Source organism: Homo sapiens, chromosome 5 (assembly GCF_000001405.40).
Source record: "Homo sapiens chromosome 5, GRCh38.p14 Primary Assembly".
Taxonomy (NCBI): Eukaryota; Metazoa; Chordata; class Mammalia; order Primates; family Hominidae; genus Homo; species Homo sapiens.
The window spans coordinates 116635526-116650556 of record NC_000005.10 but is presented as its reverse complement, the minus strand read 5'-3'; the positions used below and the strand labels follow the sequence as shown (position 1 = coordinate 116650556).

Below are 15031 nucleotides of genomic sequence, written 5' to 3'. Positions count from 1 at the left end.
CAATCTGGGAGATGATAACGCAACAGGATAGGATGGGAAAGAACTATCCTCGTTTTTTGTTTAGAGCTCTTTCTTTGGCAAAGCAGCAAGAAAACAAAAATTTCTATGTTTGAAGAAAAAATGTTTTTTTTTAAATATTTTTTTCCTCCTCTAAGCCAGCGATGGCCAAGTTTATAGGTGCTAAATGGCCATAAAATGGCCAGGTAAGTCACTTTATCTTCTTCAATGATTTCTATGTTCATGGCACGAGGTAAAAATAAATATGTATAGTGATCAGCCAGGTATCTGGTACATAGAATAAGTTCATTAAATCTAATCTATTATTATAATTATATGCATAAGATATGCAACAGAGACATCAGTTGGCATGTCTCTTGAAAAGGCTACATGTGCCATATGGTACTTCAGATTCATAGGGATAGGTAGATAAGTTTTAAATAAGCAAGACAAGTGTCTGTTCCAGGCGCTGGAGTGAGCCAAGCTTGAATGGGGAGGCCAACACCTACAATAATACTATCAGCCTTTTGTGACCAATCACTGCAAACATACCTGCAATCAGAAGACCCCCTTTTCCAAAGCAGAAACTACCTTAACCTATTCTCATAAAATAGCTCATTAGAATGAGGGAAGCAGTGTTACTGAGTCTACCATGCCTATTGACATTTGTTTGATGATCTCCCTGATCACACACAATTCCAAAAGCAAGAGCTTAAAATGATTTTCAAATGTATCCAATTCACAGCCAAGCGAAAATGTTTCTGTACCAAGAATAATCTTACATTAAACTTTTTTTTTTCAGAAGCCTAAATTTAACCAGTTGGAATTCTTTTTTTAGGTGTTATTCTATTCAACCTTTAAAAATGAAGGATCTGATTTTAATGTGAAATCTGCATTTCATCAAAGATGGGACACAGTGTCCTTGCTTAATTATTCTTTGGAAATTGAACACCTTTACTACTGCATTCTTAGCAGGTAGCAACAACACAAATTGAAGAAAATGTGATTCAGGTTTGAAGCACTGAGTTCATTGATTTCAACCATATTGATAAGCATAGAGAATACACCTTGCATTGATACTGCTCACATGCTCAACTAGCAGATGGTGTAGTAGTCAATGATAATGTCACTAAATGCCTACACATATAAGGAGAATTTAGAGTGTGAATGAGGAAAATCATAACATTTCACAATTGTGTGACACTTTCTAAAGTCTTATCTATTATGCCATCTTATTCTTTTGTCATCCATGGGAGAGAGACAGCCAGGAGGCCTCAGGTAAGCAGACCATCCAGCTCACAGATGTTGAAGCCAAACTTGAATCTCACCTTTCCAAAGCACTGTTCTTTCTGTCATGCAGCTTCCTAATATATGCTGAGACTTTTTTAGATGGGGCAGGAGGTGCAGAAACTATACATAAGGAAACTCAGCTGGAGCCCTGATTATAATTTTAAGGCATCAGTGTGACCTGGGACAAGTGCCTTGAATATCCAGCACCTCCAGTTTTCAACTCAGAAGAGGGCATGTTAATTCTGTTTCTATCTACCTCAACAAGTTTTTAAGTATAGTAGCAGCTAATGAATATGAAGCTGTTTTTAAAAATAATAATTCTTTTCCAAATGTAGGTATGAAGATGATTTTTTTAAATAAGATATATCGCTAGTTAAAAGATGCACTTGTATTGAATGAATGTCCTAAATGCCTTTAAGATCCAATCTGCTACCGGCCATTTAGATGACTGCAGGAACTAATGGTAGACTATACATCTGTTGTTTGGGCTGCCTAACTTCCATTTCCCTTCTGATGTTAAAAGGTACCGTTTTGGCCAGGCACAGTGGCTCAAGCCTGTAATCCCAGCAATTTGGGAGGCCAAGGTGGGTGGATCACCTGAGGTCGGGAGTTCAAAACTAGCCTGAACAACATGGAGGAACCCCGTCTCTACTAAAAATACAAAATTAGCCAGGCATGGTGGTACATGCCTGTAATCCCAGCTACTTTCAGGAGGCTGAGGCAGGAGAATCACTTGAACCTAGAAGGCGGAGGTTGCAGTGAGCCAAGATTGCACCATTGCACTCCAGCCTGGGCAACAAGAGCAAAACTCCATCTCAAAAAAAAAAAAAAAAAAAAAAAAAGGTACAGTTTTTATTTTGGGAAATTTCTTCCACTGGATGCAGACCTGCAGGGAGCTTCATCAAGGGACCCACACTCCCTAGTCACACTTCATTGGAATGTGAGCTGTGAGCAGAATACGTGCAGCCCTAGAACAGCTGGAGATCATTTGCCTCCAGGATAGGACTTGGAAGAGACTTTTTCTGTCTCCTATATTCCTGGAGCTGCTCTGGTTCTCTTCTTGCCCAGGTCTAGTCCTTCATCCTTTTCTTTGATTCCATAAACTCTCCTACTACTTTGCAGTAAATCCCAAAAAAGCAGCCTCTTTTTGTTCCTGGTTTTTCCTTGAGTTGGCTACTGTTGGTCCCAGAGACATGCAAACAGAGCACCCTGACTATAAAATCAGCCTGGCAACACGAACAGATCTGTGCAGTCACAGGGAGGTAGACAGAGGAAATCACGGAAATCAAACCGTTTGATTACCTGTTAATCAACTGCACAAGAAAAGCCAGAATAGCCCAGGATAAATGAGCCAATAATAAGTATACAGCCACCATACTTAAAATTTCTCCCCTTTGCGGCCAGGCGCGGTGGCTCATGCCTGTAATCCCAGCACTTTGGGAGGCCGAGGCGGGTGGATCACAAGGTCAGGAAATCGAGACCATCCTGGCTAACACGGTGAAACCCCGTCTCTACTAAAAATACAAAAAATTAGCCGGGCATGGTGGCGGGCGCCTGTAGTCCCAGGTACTCGGGTGGCTGAGGCAGAAGAATGGCGTGAACCCGGGTGGCGGAGCTTGCAGTGAGCCGAGATTGTGCCAGTGCACTCCAGCCTGGGCAACAGAGCAAGACTCCTTCTCAAAAAAAAAAAAAAAAAAAAAAAAAAATTTCTCCCCTTTGGTTTGGTAAGTCAACAAAAGTTTAAACAATTAAAGGAAAAAATAAAAGCATGAGTGTTGTGACAACAAAAATTAGTTTTAAAAGTAAATTATAAAAATCATATATAGTCATGTGCCCATAACAATGTTTCAGTCAACAACAGACTCCATATATGATGCTGGTCCCATGAGATTATAACACCATATTTTTACTGTACCTCTTCTATGCCTCGATATGTTTAGATACACAAATACTTACCATTGTATTACAATTCTCTGAAGTATTCAGTACAGTAATAGTTTATATCCTAGGAGCAATAGGCATATACCATATAGCCTGGGTGTGTAATAGGCTATACCATCTACGTATGTAAGTACACTCTATGACAGGGTCCTCAGCTTCTGAGCTACAGACTGGCACTGGTCAATGGCCTGTTAGGAACAGGGTTGCACAACAGGAGGTGAGCAGCGGGTGAGTAAATAAAGCTTCATCTGTATTTACAGCCACTCCCTATCACTCGCATTACTGCGTGAGCTTCACCTCCTGTCAGATCAGTTGCAGCAATAGATTCTCGTAGGAACGCAAACCCTGTTGTGAACTGTGCATGTGAGGGGTCTAGGTTGCATGCTCCTTATGAGAATCTAACGCCTGATGATCTGAGATGGAGCTGAGGTGGTGATGCTAGTGCTGGGGAGTGGCTGCAAACACCAACTAACATTAGTAGAGAGGTTTGACTGTGCAGACACCATAATACGTCAATTGTTTGCAGACTCATATCAAAACCCTATCAGTGAGTGACAAGTGACAATTAAACTGCATCTGGTGCCAAGCTTTATAGTTGCAAGTGAGTTGATGTACTTCAATTGTACAGCTGCATCTAGTGGCAGGGTTTAAGTCAGAATCTGACACTTATTTTAGTCCACGCGTGGCCCACCCATTATTTTATTTGCCATTTCTGTTCATGCCTCTTTCTGCACTGTGCACTTGTCTCAGTCACAGTTTTGCTAAGTCCACAAGATAACCCTAGCCAAAATGAGTAAAAAGCAAATATCACTGGAGAGCTTCTTCCAAAAGGGGGAAACACCCAATGATGAGACAGCAGAAGACTCTAAGACTGCCAACAAAAAGAAAGCTGCACTTGACAATACCAAGAGTCCTCCTTAAAGTATGGGTTCATTGCAACAGGTGATTCACATTCTCCAAACCTGCTTTGTATAGCGTGTGGCAACCAGCTATTCAATGAAGCCATGAAACCTTCAAAACTGCTTCGCCACATAGAGACCAAGCACCCTGCATTAAAAGACAAGCCTGTGGAATTTTTCAAAAGAAAAAAAACTGTGAACACAAAGAACAGAAGCAATTATTGAAGGCCACCATTTCATCAAATGTGTCTCCACTGAAAGCATCATTCTTAGTGGCTAACCACATTGCTAAAGCTAAGAAGCCCTTTACTATTGGTGAAGAGTTGATCCTGCCCACTGCTAAGGACATTTGTTGTGAACTTTTAGGAGAGGCTGCGGTTCAAAATATGCCTTGTGTTCCTCATTCAGCTAGCACCATAACTGGATGAATTGATGAAAAAGCAGAGGATGTTGAAGCACAATTGTTAGAGAGGATTAATGAGTCACTGTGGTACACATTCCAGGTTGACAAGTCTAGCAATGTTGACAACAAGGCAACAATGCTTGTTTTCGTGCAATATATTTTTCAGGAGGATGTGCATGGGGGTATATTATGTGTGCTTTTGTTGCCAACTAACACCACAGCTGCAGAACTATTCAAGTCTTTGAATGATTACACATTAGGAAAATGGAATTGGTCATTCTGTGTCATTGTATGCATGGATGGAGCAGCTGCCATGACCAAACAGCTTTCAGGTTTCACTGCTTGGTTCAAAGAGGTTGCCTCTGAATATTAGTCTATGCACTGTGTCATCCATAGAAAAATGCTGGCTAGCCAAAAAATGTCACCTGAACTTAACAACATTTTGTAGGATATGATTAAAATTATCAACCACAATAAAGTGCATACGCATAACTCACATCTGTTTGCACAGCTCTGAGAGGAGATGGATACAGAGCACACATGTCTTCTCTTATACACAGAAGTGAGATGGCTTTCTCAAGGCAGATCACTGGCCAGAGTTTTTTAGTTATGAGAGCCACTCCAGAGATTTCTTTTAGAAAAACAGGCAACACTGGCAGCACATTTCAGTGACACAGAATGGGTTGCAAAACTTGCTTACTTGTGTGACACATTCAACCTGCTCAACGAACTCAATCTGTCACTTCAGGGGATAACAACAACAACTGTGTTCAAGTCAGCAGATAAAGTGGCTGCTTTCAAAACCAAACTGGAACAATGGGTTGATGAGTGAACTTTGGGATTTCTAACATGTTTCAAACATTAGCAGAAATTTTGAAAGAAAGAGTCTGAGCCAAGGCCTTCTTTCTCCCAGCTGGTGCGTGATCACCTATCTCAGCTTTCAAGAGTTTGAACGTTACTTTCTGTGGTGATTAATATTAGGTGTCAACTTGATTGGATTGAAGGATGCCTGGATGATGGGTATTGTTTCTGGATGTGTCTGTGAGGGTATTGCCAGAGGAGATAGGCATTTGAGTCAGTGTATGGGGAGAGGAAGACTCACCCTCAATGTGGGTGGGCACCATCCAATTGTCTGCCAGCGTGACTAGAACAAAGCAGGGGAAGAAGGTGGAAACACCTTGCTTGCTGAGTCTCCTGGTTGCCTTCTTTTTCCTGTGCTGGATGCTTCCTCCTGCTCCTCCTGCGGTTGGACATCAGACTCCAGATTCTTCAGCCTTTAGACTTTGGGACTCACACCAGTGAGTGCTGGAGGCTCTCGGGCCTTCAGCCACAGACTGAAGGCTACACTGTCAGATTCCCTGGCTTGGAGGCTTTTAGACTTGAACTGAGCCACTACTCACTTCTTTCTTCCCCAGCTTGCAGATGGCCTATCATGGGACTTCACCTTGTAATTATGTGAGCCAATTCTCCCTAATAAACTCTCTTTCATATATAGATATATCCTATTAATTCTGTCCCCTGGAGAACCCTGATTATACGCTTCCCAACCATAAAAGACCCTGAACTGGGAAGGAATGGATCCATCACCCATTTGTGAATAAGCCAGGGGAATTGACTTTGTCCGTTGTAGAAGAGGACAACTGCTTGAGATTGCAAATGGCGGTGCCCTTAAAAGTATGTTTGACGCAACTTCAAATCTTCATACGTTCTGAATTAAAGTCGAGATGGAATATCCTGAGATTACCACAGAAGCACTGAAAAGTCTGCTTCCATTTCCAACATCCTATCTTTGTGAAGCAGGGTTTTCTGCAGTGACAGCAACCAAAACGAGATTATGGAGTAGACTGGACATAAGCAACACACTTCAGGTATCACTGTCTCCCATCACCCCCAGATGGGAACTGTCTAGTTGCAAGGAAAGAAGCTTAGGGCTTCCACTGATTCTACATTGTGGTGAGTTGTATAATTATTTCATTATATTACAATACAATAATAATATAAATAAAGTGCACAATAAATGTAATGTGCTTGAATCATCCCAAAACCATCCCCCTCCCCTGCCCCAGTCCATGGAAAAATTGCCTTCCACAAAACCAATGCCTGGTGCCAAAAATGTGGGGGACCACTGCTCAAAATGATGAAATTGCCTAACAATGCATTAATATGTTCCTGTTGTTTAGATAGATGGATAGATAATAGGCAGATGATAGATAGATAGATAGATAGATAGATAGATAGATGATAGATATAGATAGATATCCTACAAAGCTTTTTATGTGACCATGTAAATAGTATTGTTAGTTTTATATAAAATGTGTACTGGTAACTCTGCTAATGAAGTTGTCAACTTTTTGTATGAAAGTTAGTTACTCTCTTCAAAAGCTAGGTTCTGCTAAGTTGTATTTGATGGTGCTGTGTCATCTCAGAATCAAATCACAAGAAAGAGCTGCATTCCAAAATCTTTGTAAATGCTCTGGAATCAGATAGACATCTAGAGATATTTCTACAAAAGAATGTTCAATAGCCAGAACATCAAATGCAAAAGGGAAATTCAAAAAGTTTCCTACGCAATTGAGAATACAATTACCCAGGCTCATTTAATATTACACTTTTTTTACATCTGAAGTTAACTTGGCTTGAATGTTCTCTCTTTCAAGAAATCTTCTGTTCTGGTTACTATTGTTACACGGCAAATCACTTCACAACTCAATGGTGTAAAACGACCATTGTATTATGCTCATGGATTCAGAGGGTAAGGAATTCAGAGTGTGTAGCAGAGATGGCTTGCGTCTTTTCCATGATGTCTGGGGACTGAGCTGGGAATACCTAATGGCTGGGGTGACTCAAGAGCTGGGGGCTAGAATCATGTGCAGGTGCCTTCTTCACATGTCTGCTGTCAATGCTGGCCATCAGCTAGGACCTCAGCTGGGAATGTCAACCAAAGCACCCACAGATCACCTCCCTATGTGGCCTGAGCTTCCTCAAAGCATGGTGGCCCCAGAGGAATTGAATTTCTCACTTGATGGACTTTTTACCTGATGTCCCAGTAAACAGGGGGAGACTTGAACCTCTTTTTCTGACTTAGCCCCAGAAGTTAAAAGCGTTATTTCTACTGTGTACTGTATTGGTTACATATGAGTCACAAGCCCATCCAGGTTCAAGGGAAGATATCAATTCCAACTCTCAATGGTAGGACTACCAATGTCTCATCATAGAAAAGTATGTGGGATAGGAGATATTCCATCTTTGAAAACTACAATCTCAAATCTTCCCAGATTCCCCATCTCCAACTAGAAATCTTTCTCTTCTCTAAAGTCTCACACTTTTCAAATTGGTGCTCACCAATTTCTATCTTATATGCAGTTATTATGGACATATTTCACCTTTGCCACTCTGCTGTGAACTTCTTGAGTTTTTGTTTTTTGTTTTTTGTGTCTTCCACAGTACCTAACAGAGCTCTTGGCACTTAATAAACACACAATAAAGTTTATTGAAGAAATGTGGACTGTTTTAGACCAGTTTCAGGTGCAATTATTATACAACTAGGAGACATTCACAAGTTCTTTTGGAGGAAAAGAAAGAAGAGAGAAAGAAAAAAGGGAAAAAGCAAGCAAGAAAGGAAAAAATGGAAGGAAGAAAGAAAGGAAGGAAAGATGGAAGCTCAACAGGTAGGCATAATTGTTTGAAGTGACTCTTTGATTCTCAAAACATTTAAATTGCTGCATTAAAAAATTTCCAGTGGAGAAGAGATCCAATTTTCCACCTTTTATGTACATCAGCTGTGCAGCTGGAAATCCCTGGAACACATAATCATGCTGACAGGTTTCATTTTAACAGAGTTCCATGACCAAGAAGCTCAAATAGGCCTTAAATGCTGCCGGACAATTGTGCTATACTTCCCTAGTCCATTCACGATGCTCCCTTTCAAGATGTCTATTTCAGCCTCCAACATCTTCTCCTATACCCTAATTTTCAGTTGATGACTTTCTTAATTCTCTGACAGAACAAAGCAGTTGAAAGAGAGTCCCCAAACACCCTCTGCCTTCTCATCTACCACCCTCTCTGCACGTAGGCTTTCTGCCTCCCACCTGGGGCAGAACTGGGCCAGCCTGTCCATTCTAACACCAGTCCCAATGCTCTGATACCAAGTCTCATCTCCTTTCCCCACAGTGCCCCAGCAGTCCACCCCTGTGTCCTCTACACCAACAAGTCCATCAGCATAGTAATATGCTGTTATTTCTCCCATCTTAAAAACTGCTTCTCTTGACATCTCCCATTAGTCCATTTTTCTTTTCTTCATTAAAGACATCACTTGAAAGAGTTGTTTACATGTACTGTCTCCTCTATGTCTCTTCATATTCTCTCTTAAATTCATCCCAACAAGGTTTTCGCCCTTACCACTCCACCAAAACTGTTCTTCTCAAGGTCACCTTGGGACATCTCAGTATTAAATCCAGTTTCTAATTTTCGTCCTCATGTTGCTCGACCCATCAGCAGAATTTGAGGCAGTTGGTATTCTCTTCTTCATACACTTTCTTCATTTCATTCCCAAAACACCATGCATTTCCACACCCCTCCCACTATCTCCCTGACACTCCTTCTCTCTCCTTTCCTGGTTCCTCCTACTCTTCTCTTTTGTGTCTTTATGTTGGGGTACTCCATGCATGCACAGTTCTTGAACCTATTCTCTATCTACACCTGCTATTTTTGTCAAGTTTCCATTCTTTTAGTTTTAAATGTGATCTATATGCAGACAACTCCATGCACACATCTTGAACCTCTTCTCTCTCTACCTCCACTATTTTTGTAGTTTTCCATTCTCCTAGTTTTAAATGCCATCTATGTACAGACAACTCCTACACTATATCTCCAACTAGAATAGTCTTCCAAACTCCAGACTCCATATATCCACTTTACAAGTCTAGTAGAGACTTCATTCTTAACATATCCAACACTGAACTCTCAGTCCACCTCCCATTCTATTGCTCCTGCAGTTTTTTCCACCTCAGTGGATGGTAACTCCATTCTTCAAGTTGCTTAGACCAACAGCCTGAAAGTCATGCTTGACTTCTCTTTTGCCTAAACATCAAGAAGTCCTGTATCCAGAAGTCCTGTATCCAGACTATGACCATTTCTCTTCACTGTTTCAAGTCACCACCATCTTCTGTCTTGGTTATTGAAATTGCCTTCTAATTGACCTGACCTCTCTTTCTCTCTCCCTACTCCCGTACTGCTTGTTCTCAACAATGCAACCAAAATGATTAGTTAGAATGTCTGTTATTTCATGTCTTCTGTCACTTAAAGCTCTGTGATACCCTTCCCCTGCCCCACCTCAATCAGAGGCAAGGCCAGAGTCCTAACAATGAGCCACATGTCACTTCGTGATTTGACTCCTGGTTACTTCTCTGACTTCACCTTTGATTGAAGGCTACCACCTTCACTGGCCTTATGCTTTACTTTGAATATTCTAAGCATGCTTCTACATTAAGGCCTTTGCCTTGAATCATCCCTTTTGTGGACAGCTCTTCCTTTAAATATCTGAATGGCTTGTCATCTGCAAGTCTTTATTCAGATGCTACCCTCCTGAGCACTCTGTTAAACCTGCAGTGACCTCTGACCCCCAGCATTACTAATCCCTCTTACCTTGCTCTGTCTCTGTATCATATATCCTGTTGGTTCTGTTTCCCTGAGTAACCCTAGTATACTCATTTATTATTTATAATATCTACATTTTTAGTCCTCTATCACTCCTGCTAGAATGTAAGCCTCACAAGGTCAAGACTTTTTGTCTATTTTATTCATGGATGTGTCCTAAGCCTCTAGAATACTGCCTGATGCATAATAGGTACTGTCTTGTCTGAAGCTTATCTTCAGAAAAAGAAAAAACAATAGGCATTGAATGAATAATTTTGAATTAATAAATATTATGAAGACAAGAGCTATACAGAAATGGAATAGAGGTGAACTTACATCATATGATTTGAGGGACATCACTGGGCTTCTTTTGTCCCACTGCAATGCCATGCCACCATTGTCTCCTCTTCTCTGGCCTAAAAGTCCCACCTTTGGAATCAGTAATGATTAGTCCAGAAAGTGGAGTCAAATAGTTAAAACATATGCTTGCTCTGAGATGTTGGTAGGAGCTCAGAGAAGAGTTGGTTTGGGGTTGGCAAAGAGGTAAGGGAGGGAAGAGACAGAGTGATGAGGCAAACAGGACACTGGGCCTTGGAAGAGTTTCACGATCTTCCCATTCTCATCCGAAAAGTAAAGGGGTGTATGATGAGCACTACACTTCATCCATGTAGTGAATTCCAGTGTCCAGTCATCAGACTGGAAATGAGACAGCTAGATTCAAATTCTTTCTCATTTAGTAGCTTGAGACAATTGCCTGACTTCTCCTTCCACTGTGAATGGAGGGCATGATAAAAGCCCGCAGGCCCCAAAAGAGAATGCTAAGGATGTGTCCTTGGAAACAGAAGTTGAAGAATTGGGGGAGGCACTAAAAGACAAACATGCCACCTCCATCATTAACCCCGTCTCTGTGATGTGAATATGGCTATGACAAACATAGACTCTCTCATTTTGAAAAAGCCCTACTGTTCCAAAGAGGATGCGTAATGAAGGAGTGAAGATGCTGTTATCTTCTCATTCGTTTGCCCTGAGACCATGATGAAAACTCAGTAGGAAAGTCTATGTCCCAAAAGAAATTGATTTTAGACTCTGGGCAGATGACTACAGTCCAAGACCATAGCTTCGAGGCAAAGGAGACCCGGGGGCAGGGCTGTAAAATCTGTACAAGCTAATCCCCCTGGGGCCTTCTTAAGGTTCACAGGCAATGAAACCATGTGTCCACACCCCCACTGCATAGCCAAAGGAAGTCAGTTCAACAAGATATTCCTTCAAATCTAATTTACTTTCTTTGTAAATAAGAACTAAGGTAGTCACTGACTGGCTAATACAACTAACTGATATTCTCCCAAAATTGTTCAGGAGCTGCATCACTTTCAGAGTAGCTACAGATAACCAGTACCCACAAACACAGTCTCCCTCCCATTCTCTTACTCACCCTCCTTCTTCCTTTCCTGCTTCCCTCCTTTCCTTTTCACGAATTGGTTCAGAAACCATCACATTATTTGCAGAGTCAAGAAACAATATTTGTGCTCACTAAAGGAAGACAGACACCAAAAAGTGCAAATGGTACGACTGCATTTTTATGAAGTTCAAAAGCTGGCAAAAACTAATGTATGATGTGAGAGGTCAAGGTAGTAGTTTACTTGGTGGGGGGCAGTGATTGGGAGCAAGCAGGGTGCTGGTGATGTTATACCTCTTTATCTGGGTGCTGGTTACACTTATAATGCCTTTCCTGTATGTTTGTCTTACTTCATTTAAAAACAAACTGTGAGATGCTTTTGCAGGAATGGACTGTTTCATTTCATCAGTAAGCCAGAAGTTTAATCACACTAAAATGAGTATTGTCCTAGTTCCATTACAAAATTGAGTATGTAGCCTAAAGAAAAAAATAGTCACAACAATAAATGAAAAATCTATTACACCATCACATTTTTTAAAATCAGCATAAATGCCTATAATATTCTAGTGTCAAATTATTCAAACATCTTAAATATCAAATCTCTAATGTTCACACTAATTTGGTAGCTATTACCTACTACAATACTAAATATACGCAACTCATGTCTTTAATTAGCATTTGAAATTTTGGCCATGCCAAAGCATGGTCTGGGAGCAAAGGGAAAATTGAATTCTGATAGATCTTGCTCAGAAAAAGCCGATACTATAACACTTCAACATAACTTGTAATATAGAATCTGTCTTCCCTGCCCAAATTCTGAACCAGTGAGTTATGGAATACTACCTCTGGTGGAGCAGAAGAGACCAGCATAGGTGACAAACCCCAAGAGGAAGGAGAAATTCACCAAATAGCTAATTTCATACCCTCCCGTGAGCGGCAAGATGTCAAACCTAGTGGAATTCAATCGTCATTGCAGAAAATATTAAAGAGTGGCATCTAAGCTTCTTTATCCCCACTTACAGATACCAAGATTTAATCAATAAATTCACAGGTGCCTTTAAGGAGATGGTTTTGCTAAATAAAAGGACATTTTGTAAGCCAGGGAAATCTGTTTGTTAGTCCACATGGCAGGCCCAGCCTCACACAAAGACACCAGACTCATGGGGCTTTCTCATGTCTTTGACCACATGTCCCAAGTTAATGCTGGGCTCTGAACACAAGAGCTAGTGGAATCACACCACCATTTCATAATATTAGTATTATTATTTTCATTCTACAAGTGAAAAACTGAATTGCAGAAAAATGAATTAACATTCAGTTTCTGAGTGGTGGATCCTCTCCTATCTATGTAGCAGCTGCCAGCCACTTTGCCTTGCTGCTGCCTCAGCACTACCTACTGTTTTAGGAAAGAGGAAATAAACAGAGGCACAAAGGGAGTTCATTGTTGGGCAGGGGTAGAGAACATGTTCTTGGAGATGTAAAATCAGGATGTCTCCGGAGAGACTGGGGAAAGTTGAAGTCCATGGCAATGAGCCCTGAAGAACACCAGCAACCAAGAAAACAGATGATTCTTATCAGGCACGGTTTCCTTGTCATGAGATTGGCAAGGAAGCCAATGAAAATCATGCTGTCTGCCTGAGGGCCTACATTTCGAAAAGTTGGATATGGGGCCACACTGGCCTGACTGCAGTTGGAGAAACTTCTATACTGCCTCAGGAGACCATTCTTGAGTACACTAGATATGCCTCTTGGAGTCAGAAAGACCAACTTGTCTTGTGGGCAGAGTTGGCTTGTCAGGTGATAAAAGGGGAGTGAGTGGCAGTGTAACGTAGTGGTTACCAGCAGAAGGTTACCTGAGCTCAAATCCCAGCTCCAAAATCTACTGCTGCACCAAACCAGGCAAAGTGCTTAAACTCTGCATGTCTTAGCCTCCTTAATTTGCAAAATGGGATAAAAATAACCATCGTATAAGGTTACCGTAAAATTTAAATGAGTACATTGATTTAAAGAATTTAAAACACCTGGCATATACAAGTGTTATGTAAGTTTTAGCTGTTAACATAAATATTGTAAATAATAGATGTTATGAAATCAATGGGCATGGAGCTGCCCAAGACCATGAGAACCCACCTCTTGCATCAGCATGATCTGGATGCGAGACATGGAGTCAAAGGAGATCATTTTGGAGCTTTACGCTTTGACTGCCTTGTTGGATTTTGGACTTGAGTGGGGCCTGTAGCCTCTTTGTTTTGGCCAATTTCTCCCATTTGGAATGGCTGTATTTACCCAATGCCTGTACCCCTGTTGTATCTAGGAAGTCACTAACTTGCTTTTGATTTTACAGGCTCATAGGCACAGGGGACTTGCCTTGTCTCAGATGAGACATTGAACTATGGACATTTGAGTTAATGCTGAAACGAGTTAAGACTTTGGGGGACTGTTGAGAAGGCATGATTGGTTTTGAAATGTGAGGACATGAGATTTGGGAGGGGCCAGAGGTGAAATGATATGGTTTGGCTGTGTCCCCACCCAAATCTCATCTTGAATTGTAACTCCCACAATTCCCACGTCATGGGAGGAACCCTGTGAGAGGTGATTGAATTATGGGGCGGGTCTTTCCCATGCTGTTCTTGTGATAGTGAATAAGTCTCATGAGATCTGATGGCTTAAAAAAAATAGGAGTTTGCCTGCACAAGTTCTCTCTTTGCCAGCTGCCATCCACAGAAGATGTGACTTGCTCCTCTTTGCCTTCTGCCATGATTGTGAGCCCTCCCCAGTCACGTGGAACTGTGAGTCCAATTAAACTTCTTCCTTTTGTAAATTGCTCAGTCTTGCGTATGTCTTTATCAGCAGCATGAAAATGAACTAATACAATTACGTTGTTCTATATAATGAAATAATTACACAACTCACCATAATGTAGAATCAGTAGGAGCCCTGAGCTTATTTTCCTGCAACTAGTCCCATCTGGGGCTGATGGGAGACAGTGACAGATCATCAGGCATTAGATTCTCATAAGGATTGCACAACCTAGATCCCTCACATGCACAGTTCACAATAGGGTTCACACTCCTACGAGAATCTAATGCCCCTGCTGATCTGACAGAAGGTGGAGCTCAGGTAGTAATTCGAGCAATAGAGAGTGGCTGTAAATACAGATGAAGCTTTTCTCTCTCACCTGCCACTCACCTCCTATTGTGCAGCCCAATTCCTAACAGGCTACAGACTGGGGACCCCTACCCTAGGTGACAGTATAGGGAGTGGGGACTTTGGGAAGTAATTAGGTCCTCATGTTAGAGCCCTCATGAACAGAATTAGTGTCCTTATAAGAAAATGACCAGCTGGGTGTGGTGGTTCACACCTGTAATCCTAGCACTTTGGGAGGCCAAGGCAGGTGGATCACCTGAGGTCAGGAGTTCAAGACCAGCCTGACCAACATGGAGAAACCCCATCTCTACTAAAAATACAAAA

At 41.4% G+C, this 15031-nt stretch overlaps 1 annotated feature.

Moving 5' to 3' along the window:
• Nucleotides 9721-10309: an enhancer, noted in NCBI's record as "NANOG hESC enhancer chr5:115975944-115976532 (GRCh37/hg19 assembly coordinates)". NCBI's record gives its function as "activates a minimal SCP1, AML or CMV promoter by ChIP-STARR-seq in naive H9 embryonic stem cells {active_cell/tissue: H9 hESC(naive)}" and the evidence as "EXISTENCE:reporter gene assay evidence [ECO:0000049][PMID:30033119]".